The 13,467-nt window shown below is 46.0% G+C and overlaps 1 protein-coding gene across 33 annotated transcripts in view, besides 2 other annotated features; it reads left to right on the top strand.

Annotated features, from left to right (window-relative positions):
* The window catches only part of PPFIA1 (PPFI scaffold protein A1), a 113,707-nt gene that overhangs the window by 64,453 nt on the left and 35,787 nt on the right, over window positions 1–13,467 (top strand). For 31 of the 33 annotated variants that reach the window (XM_006718716.4, XM_011545309.3, XM_011545307.4 and 28 more), the window contains 6 exons: window positions 421–552; window positions 2,223–2,285; window positions 3,232–3,311; window positions 4,029–4,164; window positions 8,527–8,750; window positions 13,047–13,278. In XM_006718716.4, coding sequence (XP_006718779.1) covers window positions 421–552; window positions 2,223–2,285; window positions 3,232–3,311; window positions 4,029–4,164; window positions 8,527–8,750; window positions 13,047–13,278 — 867 coding nt within the window. Of the gene's footprint in view, window positions 1–420; window positions 553–2,222; window positions 2,286–3,231; window positions 3,312–4,028; window positions 4,165–7,958; window positions 8,083–8,526; window positions 8,751–13,046; window positions 13,279–13,467 lie in introns of those variants that run through there. The other 2 variants (NR_045286.3, XM_047427776.1) reach the window with 2 other exon arrangements.
* Window positions 6,284–6,862: an enhancer, noted in NCBI's record as "H3K27ac-H3K4me1 hESC enhancer chr11:70187532-70188110 (GRCh37/hg19 assembly coordinates)". NCBI's record gives its function as "activates a minimal SCP1, AML or CMV promoter by ChIP-STARR-seq in naive H9 embryonic stem cells {active_cell/tissue: H9 hESC(naive)}" and the evidence as "EXISTENCE:reporter gene assay evidence [ECO:0000049][PMID:30033119]".
* Window positions 6,863–7,440: an enhancer, noted in NCBI's record as "H3K27ac-H3K4me1 hESC enhancer chr11:70188111-70188688 (GRCh37/hg19 assembly coordinates)". NCBI's record gives its function as "activates a minimal SCP1, AML or CMV promoter by ChIP-STARR-seq in naive H9 embryonic stem cells {active_cell/tissue: H9 hESC(naive)}" and the evidence as "EXISTENCE:reporter gene assay evidence [ECO:0000049][PMID:30033119]".

Below are 13,467 nucleotides of genomic sequence, written 5' to 3' on the forward strand. Positions count from 1 at the left end.
TTAACTTTTTTGCTTTGTAAATTAAGTTCACCCTTCCTCCCCAAATCCAGACCCAAGCTTTTAGTTACACAAGGGGAAATTCCTCTACCAGCGTGGAGACAGGCTCATCCTCTAAATATCTGCTATAAATCTGCTCCTTAAGTCCCTCTGACAGTTAACAACTAGTGACATTCCTGAGGAGTCCTGTGGCAGGAGCAGTGGGACCTTCTAGTTAATGACCTTTCCAAGACTTGTCCCGTGCTCCCTGTGTCCATGAGTTGGTTCTGGTCACCATGCAAAAGTCCACTCAAGATGGCAGTGTGGGGAGCAACTGGGGGAGGGGAGGGCACACATGGGGCTCACCCTGTTGGTCCTTGTGCTTTTAAAATAATGATCGAGGATTTACGTGAGGTTTATAAGACTTTGTTTCTCCTGCTTTAGGCAAGGCAAAGAGAAAAAATGAACGAAGAACATAATAAACGTTTATCAGACACTGTTGACAAGCTGCTTTCAGAATCTAATGAGAGGCTTCAACTTCATCTTAAAGAGAGAATGGCTGCTTTGGAAGATAAGGTAAGTTAGATAACACGGACATGCTGGAGCTTTCCCACCCTCTGCCAAAAGATTGCTCATCTGCCCCTGAGCAGGCGTGTGTAACAGTGGTTAGCAGCTGTTACCGAAAATGGGAATTATTCTTTAAAGTGGAAAAGGTATGCACAGTTATCCAGTCACTGAATTAACTTATTGTTTGCTAAGTCCATGCCCCATTTGTGTGTATGGGAAATTGTTTATCATTCTTATTCTCTAGAATGAGAGTAGGTAAGTGGTTTTTATAAAGGGCCAGATTGTAAATATTTTAGGCTTTTAGTAGTTATGAGTAATTAAATAATTTTATGCCAATCAAGTCATTAGCACAAAAGCAGCCATAAATAACGTGTAAATGAATGAGTCTGGCTATGTTCCAATAAAATTCATTTGTAGAAACAAGCAGTGGGCTGGTTTTGGCCGTCAGGTTCTAGTTTGCCAGCCCCTGCACTAGGATCATTTTTTGGGCCCAACCCTCACCCCTTTATTATTCATGCATTGGAAGTTAATTTCTGGCTGGGCGTGGTGGCTCACGTCTGTAATCCCAGCACTTTGGGAGGCTGAGGCAGGCAGATCACTTCAGCCAGGAGTTCAAGACCAGCCTGGCCAACATGGCCAAACGCCATCTCTACTAAAAATATAAAAATTAGCCAGGCCTGGGGGCACCCGCCTGTAGTCCCAGCTACTTGAGAAGCTAAGGCATGAAAATCGCTTGAACCCAGGAGGTGGAGGTTGTAGTGAGCCAAGATTGCGCCACTGTACTTCATTCAGCCTGTGTGACAGAGCAAGATCCTGTTTCAAAAAAAAAAAAAAAAAGTTAATTTCTGTCTCATTTATAAATAGGTCACTTAGGTTGTATCGTGTACTAGAAAGGGTTCAGTCAGCTGAAACCAAATAAATATTCCAACCTCTACCTTCGTTCTTTTTCATTTGATTTGGAAAAAGTTTAAGCCTGGACTCTGAGTACTGTCATCATGGAAACATGTTAGCTGTCACCAGAGCGAAGGGATATCCTAGAATCTGTGTCGGAGAAGCTCTAATGGGCAGCAGCTGGATTCCCGTTTGATAAAGCCTGTCCTGACTGTGCAGTGTCCCTAGCGATGGGACTCAGAAACTGCCCTGAGATTGGTTGTTAGGATTGGGGTCTGCTCATCTGAGAGACTAATGATTCCCGCTCATTGCATGACACGTTTATTTACACGGTGCTGACCATGGAGGGCATTTCCAGAGACCATACAGAGTCATTATCCCACTCACCTCCTTGATCAGTGGGTCAGCCTTAATGGAGCAGTGTTTTTATCTTTGATTTTAATTATGCATTTGAAACTTAAATTCAGGTTTCCCAAGTGACCAAGAAATTGTAAAGCCTAAAAGTTAGTATAAGCCAGTTTAACTGATTAAAATGAACTTGCACCATGAACTTGACATACCTACCTTTAGGAAGTTCAGTTGGTGAGGAGTAGATATATTAGTAAGAGATATAAGAGAAGGTGTCGCCGCCTCACGGTCTAACCCTGGGACTACAGCAGTGCTTGCTGGTGTGCTCTTTTACTCCGTTCCCTTTGTGTGGTCCTTTTTTTTTTTAAACGAATACAGCCATGCTATATTTAAATGGGACATTTTAAAGAAACACTAAAGGACTATCTGTCTTTTTTCAGAACTCTCTTTTAAGAGAAGTTGAAAGTGCAAAAAAGCAGTTAGAAGAAACACAACACGATAAGGTACTGAAATCTTCTCTAAATCCATGAAGAGCCAAGTTGAACTGAGTTGATGATGATGATAGTTACTGCAGATGTCTGACAGTGGAGAGCAGCTTGGTTTGTGGCTCTCATAGTCCACTGCCATAAGTTTCTAGCACTCTCAGGCTTGTATGTTGAATGCCTTTGTATTTCAGGTGATTTTGAGTCTGGCTATGCATATGGTTCAGAATTCGGAGTCCTTTCTGGGTTTATTTGAAGCTAAAATATTAGCATCAATGACAGTGCTGTCCAACAGAAATATAATATGAGCTGCATATGTAATGTTTAATTTTCTAATAGTCATATTTTAGAAAGTAATAGGTAAAATCTATTTTATTTAATTCAGTATATGCAAAATGTTATTATTTCATAATGTATTAATAGAAACAAGTGAGCTACTTTGCGTTCTTTTTCCACTGTGTATTTCCTAGTCATAGCACATCTCCATTTAGACTAACCCATTACAGGGCTCAGTAGCCACGTCTGGCCAGTGTTGGACAGCACAGCTCTAGAAATGAGATCAAGTATACCCATGACACAGGGATGGGTGCATACTTGATGTAAGACAATTAAACACAATACAGAGATGCACAGGACGTGAATATTGTTCCCCTTCTCCTCTAAAAGAGTCTGCTTCTCTACGAAACTAATAATTGTTAATCATTTGGTGTTTATCTTCTGAAAAGCTTTTCTATGACTAAGACACAGCTTTTCATTCATTAGGGCTTACAAAGTTAATATAGTAGTCTGAGTGTTTATGTTTATTGCAGTACTCTTGGAGAAAATTTTCCCAGAATTAAAATGTTTGGTATTTGTAACTGCTGATTTAACCTGTTAGGGTTATGCCCAACATCTGAGCACATTTGAAGTAAGTGGTTTTAAAATCTAAAAGAGATAGCAGTAATGTAAGTCTTTTGCTTTTCTGTAGGATCAGCTTGTCCTAAACATTGAAGCACTGAGGGCTGAACTAGACCACATGAGACTAAGAGGTGCTTCACTTCATCATGGGTATGGTATTAACCAGTGAGCAGCCATATTGTCAGCACCTGTGGCAGGCCAGTTCTTGGCTATGTGGGCAGCCTAACTGGATGTGGCTAATGGTGTGACCTCAAGGAGCCTGTAGCTTAGTAGGAAGCGAGAGAGAAAAGTAACTCAAAGGTTAGAGCTTGGTACTGAGGAGACACATCATTGGCGAAACTCCAAAACACAGGAGGAGTTTTGATCAGTTAATATTTGGATATCTTAATTTAGGTGCCCAGCAGAGTGTGACACTGATGATGTAAGAGCAGAATGACAGATCCCAAGATCTCACACCACAGATGCTGGCACGGGTGGGACAATTGCAGAGCAGTTGAAGGCCAGCAGTGGCGTGTGGCTGTGTTTTTCGTCAGCCCTGGGAAAGTGGAGCAGAAATGCAGAGCCAGACACCTGGACCCAGAGGAGGGGTCTCTCTCATCCTAGACAGCTGGGCTCCTTGTGGCTCATCACCTTGGCTGTCTGCACAGCTTTTCCTGGAGAGCTTTCTACCTGGTAGGGCTGAGAGACTAAAACTGTTGGCCTGGAGCAGGCAACATGTAGCTCTTGGGGCAGATGAGAGCAGTGCCCTCCCTGGAGACCCTTTCCTGTGTGGAATAACTTTTCCAAATTGATAGATTCTGCCTTAACTAAAAGAGAGTTTATTTTCTTTTCTTCTAATAATGATCATTCTTATTTTTCATGTTTCAGCCGACCCCACTTGGGCAGTGTCCCAGATTTCAGGTTCCCCATGGCAGACGGCCACACAGACTCCTACAGCACCAGTGCAGTGCTGCGGCGCCCACAGAAAGGCCGGCTGGCAGCCCTGCGAGATGAGCCTTCCAAGGCAAGGTCTTTGTGTGAAATACCTCTGCTTACGTGAAAGTTACCTACTTATCCCGTGGCTTTCAGACTACTTTGGGATAAAAATGTTGATAGGTCATTGCTTTCTTGCCCTCCTCTCATTTTCTATTTTCTGACTAAGAGTTTAGCTTTTAGAGCATTTTTTAAAATAGGGTTTTGTTTTTGTTTTTGTTTTTGTTTTAAAGAGGTAGGGTCTGTGTTGCCCAAGCTGGTCTTGAACTCCTGGCCTCACACAGTCCTCTTGCCTCGGCCTCACAAAGTGCTGGGACTACAGGTGTGAGCCACCGTGCCTGGCCTCTGTAGTTTTTTTTTTTTTTTCCTTTTAATAGGAATTCTTATAAAAATACAGTCACTTTTAAATACAATGATAATCATGGATTTAAAGTAGTGATTAAAAATAAATGAGTAGGCCAGGTGCAGGTAGCTCACGCCTATAATCCCAGAACTTTGGGAGGCCAAGGCGGGTGGATCACCTGAGGTCAGGAGTTTGAGATCAGCCTGGTCAACATGGTGAAACCCCGTCTCTACTAAAAATACAAAAAATTAGCTCGGCACAGTGGCAGGTGCCTATAATCCCAGCTACTCAGAAGGCTGAGGCAGAAGAATCGCTTGAACCCGGGAGGCGTTGCAGCGAGCTGAGAAAGCACCATTGCACTCCAGCCTGGGCTACAAGAGTGAAACTCCATCTTAAAAAATAAAATAAAAAGCCGAGTGCAGTGCCTCACACCTGTAATCCCAGTGCTTTGGGAGGATCGCTTGAAGCCAGGAGCTTGAGACCAGCTTTGGCAACACAGGGAGACCCCTGTCTCTATTAAAAAAAAAAAAAAGAAAAAATTAGTTGGGTGTGGTAGTGTGTGCCTATAGTCCCAGCTACTCAGGAGGCTGAGGCAGAAGGATCCTTTGAGCCCAGGAGATTGAGACCAGCCTGGGCATCATAGTAGGACCCTGTCTCTACAAATAAAGAAATTAGCTGGGCATGGTGGCATGTCCCTGCAGTCCCAGCTATTCTTGGGGCTGGGGTAGAAGGATCCCTTTGAGCCCCGGGAGGTCAACGCTATGGTGAGCTCTATGATTGCACCACTGCGCTCCAGCTTGGTCAACAGAGTAAGACCCTGTTTCTACAAAATAAAAGAAGTAATTGAATACATATATTCGTCATTTAGTGAAAAGAATTCACCTTTGAACGTTTACCTTCTTTCTTTGGTCTGTTCAGCAGCATTTGTTTCAATACACGCAAGTATAATTTTAGCCCCCATCGTCACTCAACAGCTAGTTTGGGCCAGGCCGCATTACAGACCTGTAGAGTCCTAGGCCTGCAGCAGTGTGTAATAAAACAGGAAGAATGCCTGCATCCCAGAGGACACAAACAGTCGACAGATAGAGTCTGGTAGTGTGTGTGTGTTGACTATTGGTGTGGAACAAATTACTACGGAGCTCAGTGGCTTAAAACAGTGAACATTTCGTAGTTCACAGCTCCTGTGAGCACAGGAGCAGCAGAGCAGGATAGTCCCGGCTCAATCTGGCAAGGCTGGAGCCACAGAAAGACCCAACTGGGGCAGGAGGCCTCGGGGCCATCAGCCACCACTTGGAACTGGCCACCGGGGCTGCTCTAGGGTCCTTGCATTGTGATGCAAGCAGCCCGTACTCTAGGAGAGGGCGAGGAGAAAGTCCCACAGCCTTTCCAGTCCTGGTCTTGGAAGCCACAGCCTTCACTTCCTCTCTATTCTGTTCATTTGAGTGAGGTGCTGAGTCCTGCCCACACTCAGCGTTTGGGGTGAGAATCACCCTCCACCTCTTAAAGGGACGAGTGTTAAAAGTGTTTGTGGACATATTTTTAAACGATCCCTGTACGTCAGATGGTAATAAGCATGGAAGTGGGACTCAGGGCGGCCCTGAGTTGTGGAGTGAGCAGGGAAATAAGAATTTTAAGAAGGGAGGCCAGGGAGTCAGTATAGTGAGGGTGACGTCTGAGCAGGGGCGTGAAGGAGGAAGGAGAAGGAGCACATGGAGCGTGTTCAGTGTATTGTTATGGAGTGCCAACAAGATTTGCTGAGGGATTGGATCCAGGGTGAGAAGGAAAGAGAGGAAGTCAAAGATGACTCCAAGCCTTTGGGCTTGAACAGCCGGAAGGATGGAGTCTGTTTTTTGAGATGAGGAAGACACTGGCTTAGAGGAGACTAGGAATTGAGCCAGGGCCATGTTCAGGTTGATGGGACTGTCAGCTGTCCAGGGGAGGTGGCAGGTTGGCTGTTGAATATCACAGTCTGGAACCCAAGAGACATCTAGAACTAGAGATGAAAATTGGGGCATTTTGCGCATATGGATGGTATTAAGAAACATGAGACAAGATGACACCACCTCATGGGTGCCTGGATGGAGACAAGGTCTAAGAATGGAGCTCTGGGGTGCTCCAAGGCCATCGGTGGGGAGACTGGGAAGGAATGAGACAGAGGCATGACCAGCGAGGGGTAGGGTCCTGGGACCAACTGGGTAGAGTGCTCAGGGAAGAGAGGAGAGCAGCGGAGCCCACCCTGCTGATGGGCCAGGTCAGGTGGGAGACGGGACAAAGGGACAGCTGGTGGCCTTAGTAACGGGGAGCACGTTGGAACTGCCATAGAATAGTCCCGCTGGCAGGGAAGTAAGCGCTGAAAGCTGGCCTGCAGCAAGGTCTAGAGAAGTGGGGAGAGGAAGACAGAATGGAGGTGGCTCACCAGGATCTTTTACTCTGGTTGGGAGCAAAACAGTGGAGGCGTGGGTGAAAGGAGACCCGCCCGGGCAGGGACTGGGGAAGGGCCTTGGTTTCTGCCGTGGTGTTTTAAGGTGAGATGGGGGAGAAGATGTCCTTATGCTAATGGGACGAGCTAGTGGAACTTGCTTATCCAGAGAGGGAGCTGTGATGGCCGGAGATCCGGGTGTGAGCCAGGGCTTGAGGCTGCTGCCCAGCAGGTGGGGCTGACCTCAGAGAGGAGGAAGGCCGAGTGCAGGCCTTGGTTTTGTCTCCATGAAATGGGAAGGTCGCCAGTTGGGAGTGAGAATGGGAGAGGAGGTGTTGGGGGCTTGAAGAGTGAGGTGGCATGAAAGAATCACCCCTGGGGGGATTGCGTAGGTCCCGGCACACACACTTTTCCCTCTGCATTCTGATGACATACATAATGCCTCAGTCAGACACGGCCACTCAGCACTGAGCTGCCCATGCCGCATACACTGCCATTCTTGAGGTTGCCCTTGATTCTCTCAGTTGCTGCTGCCCTCCTTTTCCTCGTTCGAGCTTGGTAGTGCCAGCCTCAGGTAGGGCGGGATGTGGACACGCAGGTTGGTTAGAGGGAACTTGAAAACACTTATGAAATTTACGGCAACTGAGTGAACTCAGTTGATATGGATTTAAATCTTTTTTATTTCTGTAACTTTCCAGTAGCATGTATAATTGGAGTAAGGTGTATTTTTTTATTGATCCATATTAAGTATACATATTTTGGGGATATATGTGATAATTTGATACATTCGTATAATTAAATCAGGGTAATTGGGATATCCATCACCTTACGTATTTCTCTTTTCTTTACACTAGGAACATTCAAGTTATTCCCTTGCAGCTATTTTGAAATGTACCACCTTTTTTTTTTTTTTTTTTTTTTTTTTTTTGAGGCAGAGTCTCTTTCTGTCGCCCAGGCTGGAGTGCAGTGGCGCGACCTGGACTCATTGCAACTTCCACCTCCCAGGTTCAAGCAATTCTCCTGCCTCAGCCTCTCCAGTAGCTGGGATTACAGGCATGAGCCACTACACCTGGCTAATTTTTGTATTTTTAGTAGAGATGGGGTTTCGCCATGCTGGCCAGGTTGGTCTCGAACTCCTGACCTCAGGTGATCACCCACCTCAGCCTCCCAAAATGCTGGGTTTACAGGTATGTGCCACCACGCCTGGCGTGTATCACCTAGTAATGTTAACTTTAGTCACCCTGCTGATCTGTCCAACACCAGGTCTTATTTCTTCTAAGGCTATATTTGCAGCCATTGATCAGCCTCTCTTCATCCTCCCCCTGCCCACCCTTCCCGGCTGATTTTCGGTTTTTGTTTCTGACTCTGCCATCTCCCAGTTGTGTATTTCGCCATGGAAATGCCACATGTCCATGTTAGGGCGTTAATATCACAAGGGTCCAAGGAATGGATTGTTGCCCTCCCCAATTTCTTAAATACTGCCTGCTTCATGTCAGTACCTTATAAGCATGGCCCATCTTTCTAAAATCTTTTGGGCTTTCATTAAAGAATTCCTAAATTTCCGATAGATTTATGTTTCTACAACTAATGTTGTTACTTTATCTACTGAGATTTGGTTTTCTTGTTTATAGGTACAAACTCTTAATGAGCAGGATTGGGAACGTGCCCAGCAAGCTAGTGTCTTGGCAAATGTAGCACAAGCATTCGAGAGTGATGCTGACGTGTCTGATGGTGAAGATGACAGGGACACTCTCCTCAGCTCAGTTGACCTGCTATCGCCCAGCGGGCAGGCCGACGCGCACACACTAGCCATGATGCTTCAGGAGCAGCTGGACGCCATCAACAAAGAGATCAGGTGTGTGCAACCGTGCATGACACTCACCACACGCATGGGTGTCTCTGAGGAATCTCATCTTGCCTGGAAAAGTCTGGATGAAATACTATTAACATTTTCTAAGTATTACATAATAATAGAACTTACTTAACTTCTGTTTTAAGAATTTTAAGGTCTGAAATTGCCCTTGAATATAAAATTCAGGTAACCAGGGCACTCTCCCCACAGTTACGGCACTAGTACCTTTCTGTAGGACATTGTGGGACCTGAGAGGTCCTTCCCCTGAGAAGCTCGCCACATAGCTGGAGGGTGCTGAAGGGGCTCAGCCCAGCTCCCACTGCCGTCCTGAAAGCTGCACCTGGAAGGCCACATGAGCTGAGCACATCTGGAGGAGGCTGATCGGCCTACCTTCCTGATCCAGAGTGCAGATGAAAGGTGTGCACGGTGGTGGGCTGGGAAGAGATGACGGACTGAAGCCTGCCTTGAATGAATAGCAGTGGCTGCCTCCACAGGCCAGTGCCACTCACCAGAGAGACCAGCACTCAGAACACATGCACACCGGAGCGGGCGCATATGGTGGGAAGCGGGAGGAAGGGTTGCTTATCAACCCTCTTCTGGTCTTAGTGTCCCTCCTTGACCCTGAACCCTGAAAGGAGCGCGTTGCTATCACCTGCCGCATGTGCAGCCTCCTGCACAGAAGAGGCTGTGTGTAGTGACGTTTAAAAGTGTAGAACGTTTACCTTCTTACTTTGGTCTGTTCAGCAGCGTTTGTTTCAATACACGCAAGTATAATTTTAGCCCCCATCGTCACTCAACAGCTAGTTTGGGCCAGGCCCCATTACAGACCTGTAGAGTCCTAGGCCTGCAGCAGTGTGTAATAAAACAGGAAGAATGCCTGCATCCCAGAGGACACAAACAGTCGACAGATAGAGTCTGGTAGTGTGTGTGTGTTGACTGTTGGTGTAGAACAAATTACTACGGAGCTCAGTGGCTTAAAACAGTGAACATTTCGTAGTTCACAGCTCCTGTGAGCACAGGAGCAGCAGAGCAGGACAGTCCCGGCTCAATCTGGCAAGGCTGGAGCCACAGAAAGACCCAACTGGGGCAGGAGGCCTCGGGGCCATCAGCCACCACTTGGAACTGGCCACCGGGGCTGCTCTAGGGTCCTTGCATTGTGATGCAAGCAGCCCGTACTCTAGGAGAGGGCGAGGAGAAAGTCCCACAGCCTTTCCAGTCCTGGTCTTGGAAGCCACAGCCTTCACTTCCTCTCTATTCTGTTCATTTGAGTGAGGTGCTGAGTCCTGCCCACACTCAGCGTTTGGGGTGAGAATCACCCTCCACCTCTTAAAGGGACGAGTGTTAAAAGTGTTTGTGGACATATTTTTAAACGATCCCTGTACGTCAGATGGTAATAAGCATGGAAGTGGGACTCAGGGCGGCCCTGAGTTGTGGAGTGAGCAGGGAAATAAGAATTTTAAGAAGGGAGGCCAGGGAGTCAGTATAGTGAGGGTGACGTCTGAGCAGGGGCGTGAAGGAGGAAGGAGAAGGAGCACATGGAGCATGTTCAGTGTATTGTTATGGAGTGCCAACAAGATTTGCTGAGGGATTGGATCCAGGGTGAGAAGGAAAGACAGGAGTCAGAGATGACTCCAAGCCTTTGGGCTGAACAGCTGGAAGGATGGAGTCTGTTTGTTGAGATGAGGAAGACACTGGTTTAGAGGAGACTAGGAATTGAGCCAGGGCTGTGTTCAGACCAGCCTTGGCAACATAGGAAGACCTCATCTCTACAAAAAAAATTAAAAAAAATGAGCCAGGTATGGTAGTGCATACCTGTCACACCAGCTACTTGGGAGGCTGAGGCGGGAGGATCCCTTGAGCCCAGGAGTTCGAGGCTGCAGCGAGCTGTGATCATGCTGCTGCCCTCCAGCCAGGATGACAGAGTGAGATCTGTCTCAAAAAATATAAAAATTAGGCCAGGCACTGTGATGAGTGTGCGTACATCAGAGCCTCACATGTTCAGGTCCCGTCACACAGTGGCCTGGTACAGAACACTGGAGCTCTTCAGGAGTGCACGGCTCCACTCCAGTGTTCCTTTCCCTGTGTGAAGTTAACATGGACAGTGAGTGCTCAGATTGCAGGTTTGAATCTTTCTTGTCTCGTCAGTATTTTAAAGGGTTTTTCTTTAGCAACTTTAGCAGTTATAATGCAGAACTTACAAAACGGGCCAACTGTAGAATGGAATCCAAGAATTGCTTTTATATTTATGAAGAGACCGGTAAACCCTGCCCACGCTGGCTTGGCCTAGGGACACAGCAGTGTGACCAGGGGGTGCCTGGGATCTACCCTCGGGCCCTGGCCTGACGTGCTGCTTGGCTAGCCTGAATCCAAGGGAGGAGCAGGTGTGTGTGTGGAGTCCTGCAGCAGGTCTGGGTGGGGTGCTGCCACGACTTGCTTGTGAAGTTTACGTGGGTGGAGGTGCCAGTCCTGGTCAGAGAGAACAGGAGGTAAAGAAGAGAAGGTTGAGAGAAACATCAACAAGAGCTGTGTTACTCCAGCTTTTTTTTTTTATTAAAAAGAAAAAAATAGGGCTGTACATTCTGAAGTAAGAAGTTGGTGTGCTGCCTGTGTTTTTGACTTTATAACTCCCATTTCATGTGCCACCTTGAAAACTGGCGAAGAGACCTCTGCAGCATCTGTTGCCAGGCATGGGGGCCCTTTGAAGGAGGAGGTGCAAAATAATTAGTGTGATGAAGCGTTCAGAAAGATCGTCTTTCCTCATCATTATGGGAGCTGGGAAAGGATTATATACCTTTTGTTTTTATTTCTTATGATGTATAGCTAGATAAAAGTGTTTCCTCTTTATGCAGAAAGTTGACCTGATGTAAGTGTTCTGTCCACTGACTTGTGGATTTTCTTCTATTAATAATGATCAAAAAGCACTTTTCTTAGAAATGTAAGTAGAACTTTAATTGGAAGGGTTATTGCAAGGTTTCTATATTTTAATACTAGAATAATTATTATTGGCACAGTCAAATATTAAAACTGCTGTCTAGTGATCCATGACACTCTAGGAGAGAGGAGCGTTAATCTTGAATTCCAAATTAATGTAGCATGGTTGGCATGAATCCAGAAATTTACATGAGGATGGTAGAGAATCCCATCAGATAACGCTCTGGTTCAAATTTAAACTAAAAAAAAGAACCAACTCAATATTTTCGTTTAGTCTAAACAGTTAAGTGTTGGGAAACTCCTAATTGTTTTGTGCATCTGTTCTTTATATTAGAGTTCCTGATTTCCAGTTGAAGAAATCTGTAGATTTCTTCAGCTTTGCTCTAAGAATAGGGGAGATAAGGGTCATAAAATTTTAAAATATCACTTAGTAAGGAAATTATTAATTGCAACCATAGGAAAAATTGCCATCCAGCCTTCTCCAGAATTTTTGTGTAAATAAGTAAAATCAAATGTTAATGATATCCAGAACCAACAAGACTCAATGGAAGGTTTACTTTTTGTTGTTGTAAGATGTAGTATATTAAAAAAGATTGAGGCCAGTGTGGTGGCTCATGCCAGTAATCCCACCACTTTGGGAGGAGGCTGAGGTTGGAGGATGTCTTGAAGTCAGGAGTTTGAGACCAGCCTTGGCAACATAGGAAGACCTTGTCTCTACAAAAAAAATTTTAAAAGATGAGCCAGGCGTGGTAGTGCATACCTGTTGCCCCAGCTACTTGGGAGGCTGAGGCAGGAGGATCCCTTGAGTCCAGGAGTTCGAGGCTGCAGTGAGCTGTGATCATGCTACTGCACTCCAGCCGGGATGACAGTGTGAGACCCTGTCTGAAAAAATAAAAAATTTGGCCAGGAGCTGTGGCTCGCGCCTGTAATCCCACTACTTTGGGAGGCCGAGGCAGGCGGATCACGAGGTTGGAAGTTCGAGACCAGCCTGGCCAACATGGTGAAACCCCGTGTCTACTAAAAATACGAAAAATTAGCCGGGCATGGTGGCACGCGCCTGTAATCCCAGCTACTCAGGAGGCTGAGGCAGGAGAATTATTTGAACCCAGGAGGCAGAGGTTGCAGTGAGCCGAGATCGCGCCACTGCACTCTAGCCTGGGCAACAGAGCGAGACTCCATCTCAAAAGAAAAATAAATAAATAAAAATTTAAAAAGAGTAGAACATTTTTGCTGAAGTGTTCATTGTTTGAGCAGCTTATTACTGGAGTTTACTCATAGTAATACAGAGTATAAGCATGGTTTTTCTCATGCAAACACATTAATCTGTTTGCCGAAACAGGAGGACTGACTGCTTTTGTTTTATTTTAGGTTGATTCAGGAAGAAAAAGAAAATACAGAGCAGCGGGCAGAGGAGATTGAAAGTCGAGTTGGCAGTGGAAGTCTAGACAATCTTGGTCGTTTTAGATCAATGAGCTCCATTCCCCCCTACCCTGCTTCCTCGCTTGCTAGCTCCTCCCCTCCGGGCAGTGGGCGCTCCACCCCACGAAGGATCCCTCACAGCCCAGCTCGGGAAGTGGACAGACTGGGCGTCATGACCCTTGTACGTATCCGCCCTTTCCCTGCTGTGGCTGCCCTCAGCATACCTGTATGAAATCTTGGACACTACAAATCTACCCACAAGAAAATCAAGTACATTCGTTATTCTAAGAGGTTCAAGATTATAAAAACTAGTTACTATTTAATCATTCAGTTATGACAAACTAATTTTAATATCTGGGGCCGGGCGTGG

Source organism: Homo sapiens, chromosome 11 (genome assembly GCF_000001405.40).
Source record: "Homo sapiens chromosome 11, GRCh38.p14 Primary Assembly".
NCBI lineage: Eukaryota > Metazoa > Chordata > Mammalia > Primates > Hominidae > Homo > Homo sapiens.